Source organism: Homo sapiens, chromosome 19 (assembly GCF_000001405.40).
Source record: "Homo sapiens chromosome 19, GRCh38.p14 Primary Assembly".
Taxonomy (NCBI): domain Eukaryota; kingdom Metazoa; phylum Chordata; class Mammalia; order Primates; family Hominidae; genus Homo; species Homo sapiens.
In genome coordinates, this window is record NC_000019.10 from 44506159 (window position 1) to 44530880 (window position 24722).

General features: G+C 46.8%; 1 protein-coding gene across 8 annotated transcripts; it reads right to left on the bottom strand.

Moving 5' to 3' along the window:
- On the bottom strand, positions 1-23517 carry CEACAM20 (CEA cell adhesion molecule 20). 8 transcript variants are annotated; one of them, XM_011526429.3, is made up of 13 exons: positions 23300-23517; positions 21396-21476; positions 18943-19086; positions 17828-18103; positions 16476-16754; positions 14316-14594; positions 10788-11066; positions 7014-7131; positions 6710-6795; positions 5859-5920; positions 5479-5514; positions 4872-4997; positions 1-56 (listed from the first exon to the last, which is right to left on the bottom strand). In XM_011526429.3, exons 1-13 carry the CDS (start codon positions 23349-23351, stop codon positions 3-5), a joined length of 1872 nt encoding a protein of 623 aa, XP_011524731.1. In that variant the 5' UTR covers positions 23352-23517; the 3' UTR covers positions 1-2. The 8 variants fall into 8 exon arrangements, with proteins under 8 accessions (XP_011524731.1, NP_001096067.2, XP_011524732.1 ...); NM_001102597.3 differs by lacking the exon at positions 21396-21476; XM_011526430.3 differs by lacking the exon at positions 5479-5514.
- Between the last annotated feature and the right edge of the window lie 1205 nt (positions 23518-24722).

The following is a 24722-nucleotide window of genomic DNA, read 5'->3' on the forward strand; positions in this document are numbered from 1 at the left end:
CATTAGACGGAGGGGTTGATTTGGATGTAAGTGTTGGGCTCTGGATTCACAAGCTCCTGTTAAACAAAGAGAAAATGTGAGCTCCATTTGCTAGGTGGACCCTCCCAGTCTACTCACTGTAGTCTGGGGCCCAAACAGCCTGGAGCTTTCCTTTCTTTGGAAATTCCAAAAATCTTCCTCCATTCTCATCACACTTTAGTAACCCTGGCACATCTCTGTTCCTGGAATGGCCCATGTACTTCCCCACTGTGGTAAACAGACTCTAAAGTGGTCCCCATAATCCCTGCCTCCTGGTATTCATTCCTTTATGTAATCTCCTCCCCTTGAGGGCAAGACCTGTGACTTGCATCTAACCAATAGAATATGGCAAAGGTGGCAGGATATACATGATTGCATGTATGTGATTCTGTTACATAAGATTATGACTTCTGTCTTGGCTTGAAGAAGCAAGATGCAATGTTGTGAGCTGCCTGTGGAGAGGGCCACATGGCAAAGAACTGAGGATGACCTCCAGCTGACAGTAAGAAACTGAGGCCCTCATTATGACAGCCTGCAAGGAACTGAATGCTGCTAATGACCACATGAGCTTGGAAGTGGATCCATCCCCAGCTGAGCCTCAGATGAGACCTGGGCTTTGACTGGCACCTTGATTATACAGCCTTGCAGAAGAGCTAACTAAGCAATGCCTGAACTCCTGACCCACAGAAACTGTGAGATAATGAATTCATGTTGTTTTAAGCTGCAAAGTCTGTGGTAATTCATTATACAGCAACTGATAACTCTACACCCTCTTCAGGGCCTTTTTTACTGATGCCTCTCAAGTTGGAATGTTTCCTTTCATACTGTTTGCATGGTTTGCTCCTTCTAATCCCTCCAGAATGTAGCAGACACTGAGTTCACTGAGTTGACTGACCTAACCTTCTTCCCCACACCACCTCCCTTGCTTGCTTCTATTGAAGAGGCTGGGAATGTTAATGTACCACTTTCTCAGCCTCTGTTGCTACAAGGAGCACCATATGACCTTATTCTGGCTAATGAGATATAAGAGGAAGCTTACTAGGTGGTATTTCTGGGAAGACCTTTTGCCCGACTAATAATAGGAAACAAACATGGCTCCCCTACGCAGACACTGGTGAAGAGAGGGACTTAGGTGGCTAAGTTTTTACCAGTTCAAAGCTGATTAGAGAGCTGACAAAACTAAACATGATCCATACCATGGCCTGAATCAATCTGATTCTTCTATGGAGAATTTGAACCTAGAAATGCTTAAAGGGCAGCAGAAGATGTTGTTATATATACTCTGAAGTTATAGAGAAGCAATGACCAGGACATTTACATAGAAATTCAATCTGGATTGAGAAGAATGAGATGAATTCATAGATTAGTGAAAATGAGAAACTGTATAATAAGAGAGAAACAGCTTCTTGATAGCATTCAAGTCGCCAAGAGGCCCAGGAGTAATTTCTGAAATTGAGTTATCTGATATTTCTCAGTGTTCTCTCAATTAATCCCCATTCGAACTACATTCAAAGGGTTTAACTTTCTTAACATTAAAAATTCTTGACTAAGATATTAATATATGAAACATTCAGCCAGGTGCAGTGGCTTGCGTCTGTAATCCCAATACTCTGGGAGGCCAAGGTGGGATGATCGCTTGAGCCCAGGAATCTGAGGCTGCAGTTGGCCATGATCGCACTACTGCACACAACCTGGGTGAAAGAGCAATACGTTGTCTCAAAAAACTAAAAAGGTGTATAGGATATTCACATTTTTCAAGAATAGTTATCTGTCTGTTAGGCTAAAATCTACCCTTCTTTTACCTATCCTCCATGGTAATTTATGTGCCCTCTGGAACAACAAGGAACACATTTATCCCTCTACTTGAAGCCTGTCAGACACTAAAATATTGGAGTTCTCTGTCCCTAAACTTTCTCTTTTCCAAACCCAAGAAAACCCTGTCAGTAGGACATGGATTTGAGCCCCTGTTCTGGCCTCTCTCTTATTCCTCCTCTGGATAAATTCTGACTGGTCACTGGCTTGTTCAGAATATAGAATCTGAAGTCCATTCTTGGAATTGGAGTAATCTGGCTGTCCTGATGACAGGGTTGAGATCACTTGCATTCTCTAAAATAATTCTACTAGTCCTTAGAACTATGGAGCCATCACTTGACTGCTCTAAACTTGTTACTGGAATTTTGCTTATGCCTGGATGAACTAATAGTTTTCTTCTTTTTTATTTTTTTCTTTCTGAGACAAGGTCTTGTTCTGTTGCCCAGGCTGGAGTGCAGTAGCTCGACCTCAGCTCACTGCAACCTCCGCCTCCCAGGTTCAAGTGATTCTTCTGCCTCAGCCTCCCAAGTAGCTGGGATTACAGGTGCCTGCCACCATGCCCAGCTAATTTTTGTATTTTCAGTAGAGACAGCGTTTCACCATGATGGCCAGGCTGGTCTCTAACTCCTGACCTCAAGTGATCTGCTCGCCTCCACCTCCCAAAGTGCTGGGATTACAGGCGTGAGCCACCGCGCCTGGCCCAGTTTTCTTCTTTTTGAATGATGTAACTAATCATACCTCTCTGTTTTATTGTTACCAGGAAGCTTAGAGACACATAAGAGATATAGTGGCAGATATCACGTAGGCCCAGTATATATTTTTACTTTTTACCCATATATTGACTTCTTGCTATTGTTAAAAATATTTTTTCTGATTGTAATTTCTATTTCTAATTTAACACCATTTTGTAGTGTTGTATATAAACTGCTTCAAATCTTCCATGGGAAAAACTGCTTCAAATCTCCCATGAGAAAAATGTGGGGAAGTAAATATCATGAATGAAATGAAAGATTGGAAAGGAAAGGAAATGAATGAAAAGGAATAGACTATTTAGGAATGTAACTGAAAGAGATGGCAAAGGCATAAATGAAATGGAGGGAAATTGAATAGGACAGAAAGGAATACAATAAAAATTAAAGGCAGAGAATGGAGTGAAATAAAATGGCATGATGTCCAAAGAAGTGCAAATGAAAGAAATTAAATGAAAAGGAAAATTGTAACAGAAAGAAAGAAATAAAGTAAAATAAAATGGAGCAGAAAAGAGAGTAATAAAATAAGGTAATGAGGGGAGAGAAGTGGAGAGGAAATTAGAGAAAAGTAATATAGTAGAAGGAAAGTATAACATTAAAGAATAAAAATAAAGCAACGAAATTAAAAAAAAAACAGAAAAGGGGGGAAATGGAATGCCATGGAATATAAAATAATGAAATGAAATGAAACTGAAATCAATGGTATAAAGAGTAGGAAATGCAAAGGACTGGAAAGAAATGGAAAGAACTTAAATGAAATGAAAAGGAGTGGAATGGAATGACTTGAAAAGAAGAAATTAAATGGAAAGCTTGAAAAGGAAAGTAATAAAGACAAGGGAATGAAGTGCCATAAAGGGCATGAAGGGAGAGGATGAAGTGAGAAAACATGCAGTAGAATGGAATGGAATAGAATAGAGTGGGGTGGATTGGAAAGAAATGAAAAGGGAAAGGAATTGAAGAGAACAGAGGGAGAGGAATGGAAAACAGTGAAATAGAATTGAATGAAAGGGAAGGGTATGGAGAAGAGAAAGTGAATGGAAAAGAAAGAAGGGAATGGGAAAAAAGAAAAATTGAATGGAAAAGAAATATAAAGAATAAGAACTGGAATGTAGTGGAATGAAGTGAAAACCAATCAAATGGAAATGAATGTAAATAGGGACATTGCCTAGGAAGGAATGGAGAGGTAGGAAATAGAACGGATGAAATGGATTAAATATATGGATGGAAATAAGAAGACTGAAATGGGATGGGAAGAATAAGAATGGAAACGAAATAAAGTCGTGGGATGGGAATTGAGTGGGCTGGAATAAAACAGAGTGTAATGGAATGTAAAATAAATGAATTGAAAGGAATTAAAAGAAAAAATAAAAATGGATAAAATGCAATAGAAAGAAAGGAAAAGAATGAAAAGGAATGAAATAAGAAAGAGATGGAAAGGAGTGTAAAGGGATCAAACAAAGCTGAGTGGAATGGAATGAAAAGGCATGGAATGAGCCAGGCAGGGTGGCTCATTCCTGTAATCTCAGCACTTTGGGAGGCCAAGGCGGGCAGATCAATTGAGGTCAGGAATTCAAGACCAGCCTGGCCAACATGGTGAAATCCCGTCTCTACCAAAAAATACAAAAATTAGCTGGGTGTGATGGCTCGTGCCTGCAGTCCTAGCTACTCGGGAAGCTGAAGTGGGAGAATCCCTTGAACCTGGGAGGCAGAGGTTGCAGTCATCAGAGATTGAGTCACTGCACTCCAGTCTGGGTGATGGAGCAAGACCCTGTCTCAAAAAAAAAAAGAAAGATGAAAGGAAGGAAGGAAGGAAAGAAAGAAAGAAAGAAAGAAAGAAAGAAAGAAAGAAAGAAAGAAAGAAAGAAAGAAAGAAAAAGGAAGGAAGGAAGAAAGAAAGAGAAGAAAGAAAATAAAAGGCATGGAATACAGTAGAGTGAATGGGAAGAGCTGGGATGGGGGGAAATAGAGTGGAAGGAAATAAAACCCAATGGGATGGAAAGAAAATGGCAGAGTGAAGTGATATAGAAATACAGAAAATGAATAAAGCTAAATGGATAGAAAGGAATTGGGTGGAGTGAAACATGGAATGCAATAAAATGGAGTGCGTTGGAAAGGAATGAAGTAAAACCAACTAGAAAATGACATGATGGAAATGGATAGGATGGAATTGAGAAGATTTTTAAAGGGAAATTTTTCTTCATAGTTCATCCTACAGACTCTTTAGTAGGGAAGAAAAAGCAGATTGGTGACAGATTTCCACCTGTCCAAAGACTCAGTGTGGCATAAACATACCTCATAGATTGACTCCATGTTTTTTGGCACAGTGGAGACCAATCTGAGTGGGGGCATCAGAGGTTTGGGTGGTGGCTTCCAGGGGCTGAAAGAATTGCCTCTACGGCTTGCTGAAGGCAGCTTCGTCTGCAAGTAAGCAGAGAAATTAGGCAGGGCCCACAGACACAGATTGCCAGGAATGTACCAACTTACACTCTTCAGGGACCGAGAGAGTGGAAGGAATCTGTTCAGGTTCTTGCAGAGAATCAGAGGTGGAAGCAGGGTTAGAACCCAGGCCCTTGCCCTGGCCCAGAACTCTCCTTTTTCCTGCTGGATCTGCAACCTCTACTCCCAGCCTCCTTTTCACCCCAGCATGTGCTGGTCCAGTACCACCTCATTGGCAATCCAATTCCAAGCCCTGGAGGTGGAAGGAACGAAAGAGGATCCAGGGTCATGGCATCTGACCCAGCTCTCTGTGAGGCCTTAGGCTACTCTCTTCCCATCCCTGGCCCTGTGATGTGCCATGAAATGTTTAGACAAGATGATCTCTCAGGCTTATCACATATAAAATTTTCAGATTGTCTTTCCTTCATAGATTCTTTAACCAAACCCAGCAGGGCCAATGTACCTCATAGGTCTCCTCTGGAAGGTCTGGTGGTTGCATCTGGGGAAAAACAAAGTTGCAGAGAGGTCATAGGGCTTGGAATAGGGGCTACCCCAAGAGATGCTCAGAAATAGCTTTGGCCTCAGAGGCAATTATAGCACTTCTGATTCCCAGAGGGCTCAAAGCTAGGAATTGTCATGTCAAAGAATAAGAAGACGAGGAGAAGAGATGAAAAAACCCGGGAGGGTCTTGAGATCCTCAGAGAAGTCAGAGGAGGAGATGCAGAGAGACTTAACCTGGCACTGGGTTTTCTCAAAAGATCATGCCAGCCCCCACCCTAAGAAGTAAGACTATAGCAGCCTGGTCAGGGGATCAAGGAGGGTTCCCTCTGCAGCATCACTCACCAGTTCGACTCTGATCCGTCCCTGAAGCTGGGATATATTGCGATACTCAGGACTCAGGCTTTCTAGAAAAAGTGAATCTCAGTCAGGAGCTGGAGTTCGAAAGAGATATGGGGCAAGGGGCTGTTTTTCCAGGACCCCTGACCCCAGGAAGGAAGTGCAGAAATCCTTCCCAGGACTCCCTGTCATATTTCCAGTGAGCTTGACCAGGAATGTCCTGGCAATCAAGGTCTGGGTTAGGTAAGGCTGTTTGGTGACACAGATGAGGGGAGAAATCTAAATTCTAGCCCAGTTTTGACACTGGGTCCTCTGTAGCCTGGATTTAGCCCTTTATCCCTAATGGCCTTGGTTTTCGTCTCTATAAAATGGGGCTGGATTGGACAGTTTCTAGAAAGCCTTCCATATCAAAAGGCCTATCCTTCCAGAATCCCAGACCCAGAGATGGCAAATACGTTTCATTTTGTCTTTGGTTAACTCTAACCCATCAGTAGAGGGCACTCGAGGCACTCTACTGAGATATGTTATGAGGCTGGATTTGGATTCAGCAGGAAGGAGTGTTGTGGTTGATTCATTCTGTCTACAACAATCAGTTAAAAAAGTCTTCTGAGATTGAGAAAGGAGAGAATTCCAGCCTGTTGTCCTGCTTTTGCCGGGACTGTTGGAACAGGCAGAACCCATCAGAGGGCTTGACTCCAATCTCATCCAAATTCCAGATGGGAACACAGAGGCTCAGAGTGGACAGGGCTTGCCCTGATCATACAGTGACCTGGTGGCAAAGCTGGGAGCCCCCAGCACCAGCCTCTTCCCCAGCCCTCACCCCTGCCCCAGGCATCAGCCACCATAGAGTCACTTACCGGAACTGGGCTCTGTGGGGTGCTCCTCCTTCGGGATGGGTTGTGAGGTCTCATGACTGGGGTCCTCTGTTGTTTTCCTTGAGGGCCTGAAACCCCAAAGCCCTCATTATTCTGTGCCTCTAGTCCTTGCCCATCTCCACAGGTTCTGCCCATATCCCATGTCCATTCTTGAACAATGCCCACAACCCTCTGAATTCCCCAGGTGCCAGACAAGACTCAGCACCATGGTCAGCAACACGCCCGGCAAGCGCCCCCTGCTGGCCACATCCCCATCCCCATCCCCCTCCCTGTATCCCTGTGTTACCGTCTGGCATTTCTGATGCAGAGAAAATAGCCCAGTTCTGAGGCCACAGCAATGACAGCCAGGATCCCGATGACAATACCAGCGATGGCCCCTGAGGACAGGGAGGAGGACTGGGGACCTGGGCAAGGAGACAGAATCAAGACCCAGGCTTGACACACCCTCATCCCTGCTCCCAGCCCGTTCCCAAGCTTGCAGCTTTTTCTCTACTGACATTTTGTGAGCACTTGTTTTCCAGTCGTTGGGAGGTATCAGATTGTGGTTTTTGGTTTTGCTTTTTTTTTTTTTTTTTTCAGACAGGGTCTTGCTCTGTCACCCAGACTGGAGTGGAGTGGCGTGACCTCAGCTCACTGCAACCTCCAGGTTCAAGTGATCCTCCCACCTCAGCCTCCCCTAGTAGCTGGGACTACAAGTACCTGCCACCATGCAGGCTGATTTTTTGTATTCTTTGGTAGAGAGGGGGTGTTTCACCATGTTGGCCAGGCTGGTCTGGACCTCCTGACCTCAAGTGATCCGCCCACCTCAGCCTCCCAAAGTGCTGGGATTATAGGTGTAAGCCACTGCACCTGACCTCAGTCTGTGGTATTAACAGCATCATTTCTAAACTAAAACATCCAGTTTCTGCGTCCAAATTTCAGCAGTGTGACTTTGGGCATGCTACTTAACCTCTCTAGGCTTCAGTTGTCTCTTTTGTAAAATGGGAACAATAGGGTTTATAGGGCTTCTAGAAAGATTAAACATACATGTATTCATTTTCTATATATATAGTGTTTGTTTGGAACCATGGAAAGTGATCAGTAAATGTTGGCCATGATGACAATGTCAGTTAGGATAATGGATCAAATATGGCTTTGTGTTTCTTTCCTCCCAGAATAGAGGCACAGACCAGAGAAAAGAGCTTTGGCAACCAGAAACCCGGCTTTCACTTAGAGCCCCTTGACTCACTGCGGCCATGTGACCCTGGACAAGTGAATTCATTTCTGAGTCTCATTTCTTCATCTGTAAATAGCACAGGATGTTTGCAAAGATGAGATGAAATCATGAATGTTAACACCTGGCACATACTAGGTGATTAATAAATGGCAATTGTTTTCATCAATATTGGCCTGCCGATTGCCCATCTCACTTCTGCCTGAACCTCTCTCAAAAGGGTGGAATCGAGCCACTGAGTTAAGAACACAGCTACAAGGATCAGGAGGGTGAGGAAGGAGCTCTGCTTTGGAGGGGCAGGAGGGAACTTCCTGGGGTGCTTCAGGGATTCTTAGGTTCATTTCTGCATCTCCACTTTTTTTTTTTTTGAGATGGAGTCTCACTCTGTTGCCCAGGCTGGAGTGCAATAGTGTGATCTCAGCTCACTGCAACCTCCACCTCCCTGGTTCAAGCAATTCTTCTGCTTCACCCTCCCAAGTAGCTGGAATTACAGGTGTGCACTGCCATGCCTGGCTAATTTGTGTGTGTGTGTGTATTTTTAGTAGAGATGGGGTTTCGCCATGTTGGCCAGGCTGGTCTCAAACTCCTGACCTCAGGTGATCCACCCTCCTCGACCTCCCAAACTGCTCAGATTACAGGCATGAGCCACCATGCCTGGCCGCATCTCCATTTCTTTATATGCCAAGCAAGGATAAGAATTCCAAACTCTATAGACTTTTTAAAATTTTTTTTAAATTTTTAAATTTTAAAATTTAAGGCCAGGCTGGAGTGCAGTGGCACGATCTTGGCTCACTGCAACCTCTCCCTCCTCTGCAACCACTGCAACCTCGCTGCCTCCCAAGTGATTCTCCTGTCTCAGCCTCCCGAGTAGTGTGATTACAGGTACCCACCACCACGCCTGGCTAATTTTTGTATTTTTAGTAGAGATTGGGTTTCACCATGTTGCCCCGGCTGGTCTTCAACTCCTGACCATATGTGATCCACCTGCCTCAACCTCCCAAAGTGCTGGGATTACAGACTTGAGCCACAGTGCCCGGCCTCTATAGACTTTTGAAGGGATTAATGAGATCTTGTATAAAACTACTAGCACAGTGCCTGATACATACCAGATGCTTGACAAATGATGATGATGATGATGATGATGATGATGATGATGATAGAAGCTGCTATCTAGCAAGCTCTAAGCACCAAGAGACCTTCATACATGATCTTATTCAAATCCTACAATATCCCCGTGAGCATCAACTGAACTCCCTGCTGCCTTCCCTGAGCCTGTTGCTCCATCCATCAAATGGTCTTAATAAGACCACAAGATTGTTCTGAAGATTAAATGAGGTAATTTGGAAGTTGATATAAATGGTGTCCTAGGCTTAGTGAACAACTTGAGGAGGCCAGCCTGGTTTCAAACCCCAATGACAGGATTTGAGTCTATAGGTCTCAGTTTCCCTTCCTGTACAATGAAGAAACCAACAGGCTCACCTCAAAACTGGCTGACAGAGAGTACCCAAGAAGTGTTTGCTGATATTATATATGGGAAAGTTGGATTCAGACATGTGGCACAGGCTCAATAAATAATAATTTTAGGCTGAGCTTCGTGGCTCAAGTCTGTAATCTCAGCACGTTGGGAGGCTGAAGCGGGACGATCACTTGAGCCCAGGAGTTTGAGACCAGCCTATGCAACATAGGGAGGCCCCGTCTCTACAAAAAAATATAAATAAAAAACTAGCTAGCTGTGGTGGTGCACACCTGTAGTCCCAGCTTCTCAGGATGCTGAGGTAGGAGGATAGCTTGAGTGTGGGAGGTTGAGGCTTCAGTGACCCATGATCATGCCACACACACAAAAAAAGGAATAATTTTATTTGTTTAACAAACACAATATGCCAAGCACTGCCCTAAGAACTTTACAAATGTTCACAACCTTCAACAACCCTAAGAAATAGGCAGAATTATTATGTTTTACAGATAATAAATCAGAGGCCCAGAGAGGGTAAGTAACTTGTCCAAGGTCACACAGCTAACAAGCATTGGAGAAGGATGTGAATCCCAGTGAACAGTGACACTGTTACCTTCTCAAGAACTAAAGACAGAGATACAGGGACTCCCTGCCAGTCATGTCCAGTTGTTATTAACATCATTTCCGATTCCCCATATAGCTCACTCCTTCCCTCACTGGGTATATCTCTGACTCATTGTCCTTCTAAGCAACTCTGAAAGATAGGCATCACGATATGATTTGGCTGTGTCCCCACCCAAATCTCATCTTGAATTGTAGCTCCCATAATTCCCAAGTGTTGTGGGAGGGACCTGGTGGGAGATAATTGAATCATGGGGGTGGTTTCCCCCATACTGTTCTCATGGTAGTGAATAAGTCTCACGAGATCTGATGGTTTTATAAAGGGTTTCCCCTTTTGCTTGGTTCTCATTCTCTCTTGTCTGCCACCATGTAAGACATGCCTTTCGCCTTCCACCATGATTGTGACACCTCCCTGGCCACGTGGAACTGTGAGTCCATTAAACCTCTTTTTCTTTATAAATTACCCAGTCTTCAGCATGTCTTTATCAGCAGCATGAAAATGGACTAATACACATCACAAACCCAATTTACAGGCAAACAAACTGAAGCTCAGAACAGCTTGGAGAGTTTTCCAGGGAACACAGCAGGAAGTACAGGTTCTACATTTCCCTGACCACTAGGGGTTGGGATTCAACAGCTGTGGACTGAGAACCTGCTCAGGCAGTGTGGAGACTGCCACACTCCAGCCCTCGGTAGGGGTAGACTAGGTAGCTGGGACCAGCATCAGGAAAGGCCCCTCGGGTCCTGGGAGAAGGCGACCCTGAGAGACTCACCTACCACCTTGACCAGGACTGAAGTGGAGCGGGCCAGGCCAGTGAGAGAGTTGGAGGCTGTGCAGTTGTAGATCCCGTCGTGTTCCCAGGTCAGAGCCCTGATAATCAGCTGCTCACCCAGGTGCTCCCCGGTGGAGTGTTCAAGAGTCCAGCGATACTCAGCACCTGGCTTGGACTCGGCCCAACACTGCAGGGTCAGGCTGGAGTTGAGCTCTGCCTCTATGGTGCTGATCATCTCAGATGCCGACTCCCTGGTGATGTGCACTTGGTCAGGACCATCTGTGTGTAAAGCCAAACGTGATGCACCCTGGCCCCCATCAGCGAGTCATCCCATTCTGCCCCATTCACTTTCACCTTGGAATTTCAGTAAAATAAACAGAACATACTCCCTTTTCCTCCTTAGCTCTCTGACAAGCAGAGTGTGGTCCACAACACTGGGGGTGGGGCAGATCAAAACAAAAACAAGGGCCAGGCATGGTGGCTCATGCCTGTAATTAATCCCAGCACTTTGGAAGGCCGAGGCAGGCAGATCACGAGGTCAGGAGATCGAGACCATTCTGGCTAACATGGTGAAACCCCGTATCTACTAAAAATACAAAAAATTAGCCGGGCGTAGTGGCACGCACCTGTAGTCCCAGCTACTCGGGAGGCTGAGGCTACAGAATTGCTTGAACATGGGTGGTGGAGGTTGCAGTGAGCCAAGCTCATGCCACTGCACTCCAGCCTGGGCGACAGAGCAAGATTCCATCTCAAAAAAAAAAAAAAAAGAAAAAAAACTGCCTTTGTAAAAGTTAATTCAAAGAAGTGTTTTAGGTCACCCAGGCATCAGAAATTGTTGCTAGGCCAAGCGCAGTGGCTCACACCTGTAATCTTAGCACTCTGGGAAGCCGAGGTAGGTGGATGTGAGTGGAACTCCTGAGACCAGGAGTTCAAAACCAGCCTGACCAGTGTGGCGAATCACGTCTCTACTGAAAAATAAAAATAAAAACTAGCTGGATGTGGTAGCACATGCCTGTAATTGCAGCTACTCGAGTGGCTAAGAATCACTTGAACCTGGGAGGCCGAAGTTGCAGTGAGGCAAGATTGTGCCACTGCACTCCGTCCTAGGTGATAGAGTGAGACTCAAAAGGAAAGAGGAAAGAAAGAAAGAAAGAAAGAAAGGAAGGAAGGAAGGAAGGAAGGAAGGAAGGAAGGAAGGAAGGAAGGAAGGAAGGAAGGAAGGAAGAAAGCAGGCAGGCAGGCAGGCAGGCAGGCAAGAAGGAAGGAAGGAAGGAGAGAGAGAGAGAGAGAAAGGAAGGAAGGAAGGAAGGAAGGAAAGGAGGGAAATTGTGGCTGCGTCCTGTGTATATAATCCCTAACTTCTAGTACTGTGTATTCTCAATGGTATAAACACGTGCAAATTTTCTTTGTAATGTCAGAGGGGATCATTGTCACTTTTCTCTTCCACCACATATAAGAAGGAAACAAATGAAAGTAGTTGTTGGATTTCTCATATAAATTAAAAGAGTTTAGGCCTGGGGCTGAGGCTCATGCCTGTAATCCCAGCACTTTGGGAGGCTGAGGCAGGGAGATCACTTGAGTTCAGGGATTCAAGACCAGCCTACGCAACATAGTAAGACCCTGTCTCTATTTAAAAAAAAAAACCTAAAAGAGTTTAAGAGTCATACTTTATTTAAATTAATGTAAAATACTGGAAAGGATGCAAAAGGTTGCTAATTGAGACATTCTAGGAGGGGAGGAATACCCTGACTCTGCTCCCTCCTAAACATCATTTGAACCTGCTCATTTCTCCCCATCCTGACCCCATTGACACTTGGATCCTTCACCTGCATCCCAGCTCCTCCTGGTCTCCCCATCCCAGTCTCATCCTCCACACAGCAGCCAGAGAAGTCTTCCTAAGTACTAAAGTGTCACTGTCCCTCCTGTGTTCAGAACCCTCTGTGGCTCCCCAGTGCCCTTGGGACAAAGCCTATGTCTGAAGAGGCCATTTACAATTTGATTCTTACAGACCCCCTCCAGCCCCACCTTTCCACACCTCTTGCTCTCATTCAGGAATTAAATCCCACTCGGAGATTCCATCCTTGTTACACTCTCTCTTGCCTCAAGGCCATCGCACACTCTCTTCCCTCTGTCTAGAATGCTCTTCCCTGACTCTGCTCTAAGCAGCCTACTCCTACTCATCCTTCAGCTCTTATGGTGGACATCCCCATTCATGATGACCCTTTGCAACATCCCCCAGATGGAGGCTTCCTTTGGGCTCCCCATACCCTCCCTTTGTCCCCCGGGGTCCCATTTATCATGCTATGTTTTATCTGCCTGCTTAGTGACCTCCCCATCCCCAGCAGGCTGTGAAAGCTGAAAATCATGTCAAGTATCAAATGCCCAACATGTTGCTTAGCACAGAGAGAGCACAAAACATATATTTTTGGTTTAATGACTGAATTGAAAAGGAAAGAGGAGTGAGCAACAGAGAAGTGTAAAGAGGAGCAAAGACATGTACTCAACCCCTACCTCTGTGTTCCCTACTGCTTCGCATGTATGAAAGTGCACCCCTCCTTTCTCTCCCTGCAGAAACCTCTTCTCCCCCAATCTTCTCCATCTTGGTTCGTGACTCCTACATCCTTTCGGTGGCTCAGGCAATAAACCTTACAGTCATTCTTGACTCCTTTCTTTCTCTTTCACCTAATATCAGTCAGCAGCATATTCAAAATACATCCACAGTGCAACCATTTCTCAACACCCGACAGTTGCCATTCTGGTCCAGCCCTATCATCTCTTGCTGCGCAACTCTGGCCACCAGGAGAAGCTCTTCAAAGACCTCCAACGGCAGAAATGTAATTGACCAAGGGCCCAATTGCTGTGCCCCCAAATCTACTCCCAGCCCTTCCACAGGCTGCACCCTGCCAGTACCTGAGTGCATCCAGGAAACTAAGGCAGGCCCCTTCCTGGGAGATATGGAAGGTCCCAACAGCCATGATGGGTGTTCCTTCAAGTGCATGGTTATCCAGGTGCTTCCATTCAAGTCTCTGTCCCTCACCCTGTCACTCGGGGTCACACTTGCATCTCAGTCTCTCAGTCTGATGGCTCTCCCAGCCTCCCTGCAGCTGCCTCCCTAGTTATCCTCACAGGAGCATTTCCCCTAATAAAACCCTTGCATGAATAATCCCGTTAATCCCACCTTGGGGTCTGCTTCTCCAAGGATCTGGACAAATACAACTCCTTCTCTCACTCCCCCTCTCCCCCACTTCTATGTTTGCCTCCCTGTAGACAAAGGCCAGTGAGACCCTGTGAAAGCCTAAATCTGGTGGTGTCCCTAAGCCTTATCACCTGCTTCTCTGTTTATGGTCTGGCTTCTCCACTAGAACATAAGCCCCCTGAGGGCAGGCACTTGGCCCTGTCCAGTGCCCAGATTCATGCCTGACACAGAGCAGGAGCTCAATAATCATAGCATGAATGACTAGAAGGAAGAACTTAAAGAGAAGGAGGGAAGCAGGGAGATGGGGAAGGTCCAGGCCCTGGGTGACTCACAGTTGATGGTCAGCTCAAGGGGCTCACTCCGGGCCCGGCTGCCCCAGTTCCAGACCTCACAGGCATAGGGCCCGGTGTCATTCCGCTGGAGGCCATGGATGATTAGGGTCCTGTTGTCAGCTGACAGCTGCAGGTGCTCACTGGGCAGGAGGGGCTGGCCACTTAGGAACCACTGGACATTCACACTCTGATTGACGGTTTGGCAGGTCAGGTCCACAGACCTAGCATTCTCCACAAGGTTCAGGCTTGAAGGCACGACTTGAGGCATGGTCAGTGTTTCTGGAAACACGTGGAGATACACAGTCAGGTTCAGGGAGATTTCCCTCATCTCCTGCCCTTGTGGGGCCCACAAGTTTTTCCAGGAGTGCGTGCGTGTGTGTGTGTGTGTGTGTGTGTTACAGGTGGTGTATATGATTTGCATAATGCTGGTGTGCGGGGTACGTGTATGTCTTTTGTGGATGAATGTGTGTCGTGTGATTATTATGTGAATATGCAATGAGTTTTGTGTGTATGGAGAGTGTGTGGTGTGTAAGTGTTTTGCGTCTCTTGTGTGTGTTGGGTGTATGTGTTGAATATGAAGTATGTGTGTGGTACACATATGCACTTTGTATGTGAGTATATGCTATGTGTATATATTTGTTGTATATGAATGTGTGTTCTGTGTCTGTGGTATTGTTTGTGTTATGTGTTTGTGTTGTGTGATGTGTGCATATGCTGTATGTGCTGCATGTGGTATGTGTGTGCATTTTGTGTGTGCATTGTGTGTCTGTTGTATATATGTGTTGAGGGTGTTGACTGTATGGTATATGGTGTGTTTTCCATGTTGTCCATCTTGAGTGTCTGTGATGTTTAATGGTTGTAATGTTTAGTAGGTGCTGAATGTCAATGATATGTGTTGTGTGTGTCCATTAGTGCATATTAGGTGTATATATATTTTATGTGAGTGTGTCATGTATATGTGATCTTGTTTGTTGTGTAGATGTATGTGAGATATGTATGTCTGCGTTTTGTATGTCATGTGTGTTGTACATGTGTTGTATGTGTGAGCATTTTGTGTGTGTGTTGTGAGTTTGTGTATATGTGTTGTGGGTTTGTATGTATATGCTGTGTGTATATGTGTATGTGCTGTGGGTTTGTGTGTATGTGCTATGGGTTTGTATGTGTTGTGGGTTTGTGTGTATGTGTTGTATGTCTGATGTGTTACGTACTTTGTGATGAGTGAGTTGTACACCTCTGTTGTGTGCATGCTATATGTTTGTATGTTTTGTGTGAGTGTGTGTTGTATGTCTGTGGTATTGCACAGTTGTGTACGTATTATATATGAGTTGTGTTTACTGTGTGTATTGTACATGCACGTGAGTGTGCTGTTCATGTGGGGATATTATCTGTGTGTGTACGGAGTGTGTGAATGTTGTGTTAGTGTTTTTAAATGTAGACAGTTAAACCCCCCACCTCCAGAGAGTCAAATCATGGGCAACCCCTAGAGAGCCACCAGGGTCTCGTGCAGGATGTGCCAAGCCAGGCAAAGGAGCCAGTGTGCCCAGCCTTCCCTGTAGTCGGAGCCCTGCTGCATTGGAAATCCCCCTGGGTCCTCCTCAAACTCTGGGGTATTGGTGTAGCTCACTGGCTCTTAAGATTTTTTTTTTTTTTAGACAGAGTCTTGCTCTGTCGCCCAGGCTGGAGTGCAGTGGCGTGATCTCAGCTCCTGCAAGCTCCGCCTCCCAGGTTCATGCCATTCTCCTGCCTCAGCCTCCTGAGTAGCTGGGACTACAGGCGCCCACCACCACACCTGGCTAATTTTTTGTATTTTTAGTAGAGACAGGGTTTCACCATGGTAGCCAGAGTGTTCTCAATCTCCTAACCTCGTGATCTGCCCACCTCGGCCTCCCAAAGTGCTGGGATTACAGGCGTGAGCCACTGCACCCGGCCTCTTAAGGTTTTTTTTCAGAGTTCAAGATCCCTTCAAAAATCTGATGACAATCCTAGATCCTTCCTCTAGAACACAGCGCAAACATTTTTCATGCAACTCAATGTCATGCAGGGATTTCTCCCTCACACAGTATCCAAAGGCCCTGGATTAAGAACTCCTGGTTCCTTCTGACATGGCCAGCATCTGACGCTCAGAAGAATGAAGGAGAGGAACCGGGAAAGGAGACTCACCAAGTACTCGGACCTTCAGAGTACCCAGGCTGGACAGGTGGGTGGCACTGTTGGACACCAAGCACCTGTACAGGCCCTCATGTTCTCTGGACACAGCATGGATGGTGAATGTTCTCGTGGTGTGAGACAGAATGGAGTCAAGGAGAAACCAAGTATAGGCACAGGGTGGGTGAGACTTTGTTTCCGCTAAGAAGGTCATGCTGGAGCCCTCCATCACCTCAACCACCTCCCCACTGGCAACACCAGACTCCAATTTGATTTCAACAGGATCAGGACCATCTGAGAGGACAGGAACAATTACAGCAGTAACAACAGCATCAGCAACAGGTCTCTTATGGAGGTCTTTAACGGATCAATAAATACTTTATTTCCCTCCTCCCCACTCAAAGGCTAGATCAATTGCAAACGAGGTACAGCAGTCAGATGGAGATGAAATGTCAGCCTCATCCCTGGGTAAAGCAAGATTGAAAGACACGTCTAAAGTATGCCAGCTGAATGGTTATTGTAGCTCACACCTGTAATCCCAGCATTTTGGGAGGCTGAGGCAAGAGAATTGCTTGGAGCAAGGAGTTTAAAACCAGTCAGGGCAACATACCAAGATCCCATCTCTACAAAAAATTTAAAAATTAGCCCGGTGCAATGGCTCATGCCTGTAGTCCCAGCTACTCGGGAGGCTGAGGCAGGAGGATCGCTTGAGCCCAGGAGGTCGAGGCTGCATTGAGCTATGATTGCACCACTGCACTCCAGCCTGGACAGCAGAGAGAAATCTTGTCTCAAATGAATGAATGAATGAATGAATGAATGAATGAATGAATAAAGTGAGCCAGCTAATGCTCTTTGCTCACCCCTATCCAGGCAAGGTTTTGGATCAAACGTCTGAGGTTTGGGAGCTCAATTTTAGTTGAGCTTCACATTAAGGCATACAGGCATGAGCCATTGCACCGGGCTAATTTTTAAATTTTTTGTAGAGATGGGATCTTGGTATGTTGCCCTGACTGGTTTTAAACTCCTTGCTCCAAGCAATCCTCTTGCCTCAGCCTCCCAAAATGCTGGGATTACAGGTGTGAGCTACAATAACCATTCAGCTGGCATACTTTAGGCATGTCTTTCAATCTTACTTTACCCAGGGATGAAGCTGACATTTCATCTCCATCTGACTGCTGTACCTCGTTTGCTTCACATTAAGTTGGAGGTTTCCAGTAGAATCCAAGTAGAGATGTCAAACAGTTATATGTCTGAAGTTCAAAGGTAGACAAGTCCGCATCTGGATGGTATTTCAAGCTGTGAGACTGAACGAGGCACTAAGCAAGTGAGTGTCAGTGAGGGGTTGGAGAGAATGGAAAGGGACTCACACTTCACATCCAGGAAGATGGGGTCGCTCCTCTGGCTCAGAAGGGCATCTCGAGCTTCACATTGGTAAGTCCCTGAGTCCTCCCGCTGGACAATGAGAATGGTGAGGATCTTGCCATCCTTGGACAGCTGCATGCGCTCATGGAACACAATGGAGAGGTTGTTGGAAACCCAGTGGATGGTAATGTTGACGTCCTTAGTGGTGCAGTAGAAGGTCACCATGTCCTTCTGCTCTATGGCAGTGCCTGGGCTGACTGCAATGGAGGGTTTGGCCAGCTCTGAAAGCAAGCGAGGGAGACAGAGGCAGAGACACAGGTAGAGGAAGAACAAACAAGACATAGTCACAGAGGGACCCAGAGAAACAGGACTAGATTGGAATTGCCAGAAGACTCTCTGGAGTTGGATGCCTGGGCTTGAATGCTGGATCTACTGCTCATTCTTGGTGTCATCTTCGGCAAGTTACTTCCCCTCTCCAAGCCCCATTGAAAGTGATTGTGCAAGTGAGGCAGAGGGTCTGGGACCTGACAAGGAGTCAATCAATGTCAGCTGCAATGACAATCAAGCTTACGACATGGGTGCCAGCAAGGGCCCCCTACCCACTCTTTTTCTTTATTGAAACAGGGTTTCATTCTGTCACCCAGGCTGGAGTGCAGTGGTTCAATCACGGCTCACTGCAACCTTGACCTCATGGGCTCAAGCGATCCTCCCACCTCAGCTTCCCAAATAGCTGGGACTACAGGCGTGCACCACCAAACCTGGAGGATTTTGTGTTTTTTTTGTACACATGGGGTCCCCCTATGTTGCCCAGGTGGGTCTCAAACTCCTGGGCTCAAGTAATCCACCCACCTCAACCTCCCAAAGTGCTGGAATGGCAGGTGTAAGGAACTGCACCCAGCCCCCCTACCCACTTTTTAGCCAACTTTGCCCACCCCAGCCATGACAGCCACAGCCCTCCCTCTTTACCCCTGACCCCTGGCACAGCTGACTGAACCAGTTGTTGCTGGACCCTGGCTGAGCCAATCAGATTCGTCCTCTGGGGACTTTGGGCGTGAGGTTCGGATGAGGGATCTCCATGGAGGCAGAGATCAGAATGACCGTCTTGTTTTCTGGCCCCTACCTCTGGATCTGCCATGAATCTGGGGTGTCCTGGGGGTCCCAAACACAGGCAGAACAACATCCTCACTTTGGGTGGCATCAAGTGGGTTGGCATTGAGGGTGAGCTGGGCTGCAGCTGGAGGACTCCATACGGTACAAAGCGAGGCTACAAGGGGAGAGAGGAGGCATTCAGGGAGGGAGAGGTGTGTTGGGGGTTGCCCGGCTAAGGTCTTCAGAAGCACAGGGAGCTCTGAGGCCATAGGACTGGCATTCCACCCACAGAGACCTGAGTCCTACTCGTTACTTACAGCTATGTGACCTGCAGCATGTTTTCTTGTTTGTTTGGTTTTTGTTTGTGTATGTGTTTTTGTTTTTGTTTTTTGAGGCAGAGTCTGGCTCTGTCACCCAGGCTGGCATGCAGTGGCGCAATCTCAGCTCACTGCAATCACTGCCTCCCAGGTTCAAGGGATTCTCCAGCCTCAGCCTCCCAAGTAGCCAGGATTAGAGGCACAGGCCACCATGCCCGGCTAATTTTTGTATTTTTAGTAGAGACGGGGTTTCGCCATGTTGGCCAGGCTGGTCTCAAACTCCTGACCTCAAATGACCTGCCCGCCTCGGCCTCCCAAAGTGCTGGAATTACAGGCATGAGCCCCTGTGCCAGCTGCAGCATGTTTTTGTCCTCTCTGAGCCTCAATCTCCTCAACTGTAAAATGGGCATACTATCACCTGCTTCCTAGGGTTGTTGTGGGGGTGGCAATGAATATTGGCAAACTTTGACTGGGTCCCCTGATAGTCACTGTGTTCTCTCCAATGATGTGCCCTCTACTGGAGACACGTGATGGTCCCTGTATTCCACATAGAGAAAAAACCGATGCTCAGAGAGGTGATGTCACTCACCAAGATGGTATTGTCAATGGCAGAAGCTAAACTTGAACCTGGCCTGCCAGGCCCTGAAGACTGTGCTCTCAACACTGTAATTCCTCCTGTCAGCCCAGAGATGGCCACACAGCCAACCCTTGATTAACAGGTACTTCTACTGTGATCTTGGTGAAAAATATTAACTTTTGGTACTTCCTCTGATGTGCCCCAGGCAAGATCTCACTTGCATGGGGAGGAAAGGAGAACAAGATAGCAGGTTTCCAGTTTTCAACGGGGTGTGGTGGCTCATGCCTGTAATCTCAGGACTTTGGGAGGCTGAAGTGGGAGGATCACTTGAGCTAAGGAATTTGAGACCAGCCTGGGCAACATAGTGAAGCTCTGTCTCTACCAAAAATTTTTAAAATTAGCTGGGGGTGTTGGCCCGCATCTGTAGTCCCAGCTACAGTCTGAAATGGGAGGATCACTTGAGCCTGGGAGTTTGAGGCTGCAGTGAGCTATGATTGCACCACTGCACTCCAGCCTGGGTGACGGCAAAATCCTGTCTTAAAAAAAAAAATAGAAACACACAAAAAAATGAGTTCCCAGTTTTCCATTTGATCATTCTGCACACCACTACGGGGGCTGCAAGAGACTATGGGACCTGGCGCGGTGGCTCATGCTTGTAATCCCAGCTCTTTGGAAGGCGGAGGTGGGTGGATCACTTGAGGACAAGAGTTCGAGACCTGGTCAACATGGTGAAACCCCGTCTCTACAAAAAAATACAAAAATTAGCCAGGTATGGTGATGTGCACCTGTAACCTCAGCTACTTGGGAGGCTGAGGCACAAGAATCTCTTGAACCCAGGAGGAAGAGGTTGTCGTGAGCCGAGATTGTGCCACTGCACTCCAGCCTGGGTGACAGAGCTAGACCTTGTCTCAAAAACAAACAAACAAACAAAAAAAAAACACGAGACTTTGCTGGGGCCCAACCCCAGCAGCTGTGCTCACACGCAACTGATCTCATCTCTCCCATGAGCTCAATTAACACAGACCCTCTGCACTTCTCAAAAGGGCCCCAATGTGGCCCAAACACTGCCCCATTCCCTGCCCAGTGAGTGAATAAGGGCACGAGCTCTTAGGAACAAATATGAACTCTGTCACTTACTAGCCCTACTATCATGGGTAAGGGACTTTCTCTTTGTGAGCCTCAGTTTCTTCCACTGAAAAATGGAGATAATAGTAGAACTCAGCTCATCTGGTGGTTGTGAAGGCTGAGTGAGATATCAAATGTGGCATGCTTAACACAGTTCATAGCAAATATTCAGCCACCATGATGGCAACGATGATGATGATGGTGGTGGTCTTGATGATGAGTTCTTGTGTCTGTGGTTTCTCTGCCTCAAATGCTATTAGAGGTTAGGCTCACAGCCTCAGAGCCTGACCACCTGGGTTTGAATCTCATCTTTGCCATTTATTTGGTCAAGTGATGTTCCCTATCTGAGCCTCAGTTTCCCCATTTGAAAAATGGCGGTAGTAACAGTTCCAGCCTCACTTAACTGTCATAAGGATAAGTGAAATGATGTAAGCAAAAGCACTGATGGGGCCTCATCATACCCACCCGAGACAGGAAGCCTCTCTGTGGAAAGCCTGCCATGGCCCCTTCCCTCTGGCTTTCTTCTCACAGGGTCCTGCCGTTGTCCTACCAGGAAGAGGCAACACTTACAGACTCACTGTGGATGCGGCTGATAACTCTCAGCCTCCCAGGACTACAGAGCCCCTGCACCCTTCCAGGGTTAGCCAGGAAGCGCCGGCCCAGAGAAGGAGAAGCTGGTCTCAGGGACACACAGCAAGGCTGGGCTGAGCCCTCACCTCTGCACATGACCTGTTGCAAAATCATGTCTTCACTTCCAAAATACTTTTTTCATCAAAATATTCTAGTTTCTGCCTTTTGTCTCAGATGCCTTCTAGGCAGAAATTTCACATCCATCCCCATCCTGATCCGTGGACCTGGCCGCTCAGGGCTGGCACAGCCTCCCTCCACCTGTCTCTCATCTGCTTGTCTGAATCTCTGTGATACTCCAACTCTCTCCCCGCGTTTCTGAATCTATTTCTGGCTGTGTATTTACCCAGTTCTTTCCCTGTCTCTTTGTCCTCTGTCTCCCTCTCTTTCTGCCCCTTCCTGTTTTTCCCACTGGTATCTCTTTCTTTCTTTTCTTTCTTTCTTTTCTTTCTTTCCTTTCTTTCTTTCCTTTCTTTCTTTCCTTTCTTTCTCTCTCTCCCTTTCCCTCTTTCTTTCTTCTTTTTCTTTTTTTTGACAGAGTCTTACTCTGTCACACAGGCTGGAGTGTAATGGCACAATCTCGGTTCACTGCAACTTCTGCCTCCCAGGTTCAAGCAATTATCTGCCTCAGCCTCCCGAGTAGCTGGGATTACAGGTGCCCGCCACCACACTCAGCTAATTTTCGTATTTTTAGTAGAGACGGTTTCACCATCTTGGCTAGGCTGGTCTTGAACTCCTGACTGCGTGATCCACCCGCCTTGGCCCCCCAAAGTGCTGGGATTACAGGCGTGAGCCACTGTGCCTGGGCCCCACTGGTATCATTTCTAAGGTTATTTTTTCACCCTTTGTCTCTGTCTCTGTGCGTATCTCTTCTCCCTGTATTTCTCTCTCTTTCTCCCTGGGTCTCTGGTTCTGTGGCTGTGACTCCATCTTTCTCTGTCTCTCTCTCTTTCTCTGTGTACACAGACACACAAACACACATCTTTGTCTTTCTCTCTTGTCTCTGGTCTCTGTTTATGTCTCCTTCTGTCAGTCTCTTGCATCTGTATTTTTTTCTGTCTCTGTCTCTCTGTGTCTGTTTCTCTCTCTGCCTCTGTCACTCTTTCCTCAAGTATACACACACACACACACACCACTGACAAATATACATATATCTTTGTCTCTCTGTCTCTGGTCTCTGTTTATGTCTCCTTCTATCTCTTTTGTATCTATGTTTATTTCTGTATTTCTCTCTTTCTTTCTTTTTTTTTTTTTTTTTTTTGAGACAGGGTCTTGCTGTGTCACTCAAACTAGAGTGCTATGGTGTCATCTCAGCTCACTGCAGCTTCCACCTCCGAGTTCAAGGTTCAAGTGATTCTCCTACCTCAGCCTCCCAAATAGCTGGGACTATAGGAGTGTACCACCACACCCAGCTAATTTTTGTATTTTTAGTAGAGACGGGGGTTTGCCATGCTGGCCAGGCTGGTCTCAAACTCCTGGCCTCAAGTGATCCACCCACCTCGGCCTCCCAAAGTGCTGGGATTACAGATGTGAGCCACCACGCCTGGCCCTATCTTTATATCTGTATCTGTCTTTATTTCTGTCTCTGTCTCTGTGTCTCTATTTTTTTTCTCTGCCTCCATCTCTTTTTCCTCGAGTGCACACACACACACACACACACACACACACACACACACACACCGCTGACAAATAGATGCATACAACCTCCCTCCTCCCGCATCTGAAGGAAGCAGGGCACTCACCTGAAAGCAGGATTCCCATCCAGTGGTGTCCCCATGAGTCAGCAGGCCCCATGGGTCCCGGCACCTGACTTCAGTGTGCCAGGCCGTCTGTCGCCCCGGCTTGCACACACAGATACAGTCCTCACTCCAGGTGCAGCCCCTCCACCTCCCTTCTCTCCTCTCCCACCCTGCTACAAACTCACACACACACTGCAGTAACTGCAGCTCCCAGGACAGACAGGGGTGGTGGCAGGAAAGTAACTTTGACCCCACCTCTGCCCTCTACCCCCAGGGCTCACTTTCCTTCCCTGCCCAGCACAAAGAGCGGGAAGTCCAGGAACCCTGGAGACCGGGAACTGCGATTACGATAGTCAATAGCAATGATAATAAAAAACAACAATGACCAGCTCCTTGTCCCCGAGAGCTTAATAACCAGTCCCAGTGCCAAGTTCATTATAAGCAGCCAATAAATATTAAATGAGCCGGAATCATGCTTGTGATATAGATCCTGGTCATAAACAAAAGCTCTGGAGTCAGACCGGCAGGAATCTCAGACTGAGCAGGACTGGGGGACCTCCAGGAGGAGCCTGACGTGGTCTTGGGAGAAGGGGCAGGGAGGGCCTCCTGGAGGAGTGGACATCTGAGCTGAAACTTCGAGAACATAGTAAAGGTTCCATATATAAAAGTTACTTAAAAAAAAATCTCTATGACAAGACAAGCTGGTGGTCTTTGACAGTGTATAGACCTAGACCCAGAAGATTTAACAGAACCGACCAGCTGAGGGAACTATCATTAATCCATGTATCCATCCATTAATTTAACAAATACTTCCTGAATTCTCTTCCTTTTTTTTTTTTTTGAGATGGAGTCTTGCTCTGTTGCCCAGGCTGGAGTGCAGTGGCATGATTTCCCCTCCCTGCAACCTCCACCTCCCAGGCTCAAGTAATTCTCCTGCCTCAGCCTGCCTAGTAGCTGCAACTACAGGCGTGCGCCTCCACACCCAGCTAATTTTTGTATTTTTAGTAGAGACGGAATTTCACCACGTAGCCCAGGCTGGTCTTCAACTCATGAGCTCAAGCAATCCGCCCGCCTCAGCCTCCCGAAGTGCTGGGATTACAGACGTGAGCCGTCGCGCCCAGTCCTGAATTCTCTCCTATGCTGACCCCTGCTCCTGGTGGTACTGGGGACACAGCTCTGACTAAGACAGCCCCAACCCTGTTCTCACAGAGGCTCACAGTCCAGTGGGGGAGACAGAACTGTCCCCAGACAGTGACAACCCAGAGTGGGCAGGGCTGGGATGGAGGAATTCAAAGGGGGCGCCTGGCTCAGCTTCAGGATCAGGGAGAGCTTCCTGGAAGAGGGGACATGGTAGCTGAGACCTGAACAACATAGGGGTGAGCCAGGGGGAGCAGCATGTGAAAAGTTTTTGAAATTGGGGCACAGA

Bases quoted from the DNA above. Each gene is read 5' to 3' on its own strand.
- CEACAM20 (XM_011526429.3), bottom strand. From the start codon at position 23,351: ATGGGGCCTGCTGACTCATGGGGACACCACTGGATGGGAATCCTGCTT. The intron at 16,755-17,827 runs GTGAGTCCCTTT...CTGTCCTCTCAG, and splicing joins CATCTTCCTGGATGTGAAGT to ATGGTCCTGATCCTGTTGAA. The intron at 57-4,871 runs GTATGTTTATGC...TTTGTTTAACAG, and splicing joins ACATGGAGTCAATCTATGAG to GAGCTTGTGAATCCAGAGCC.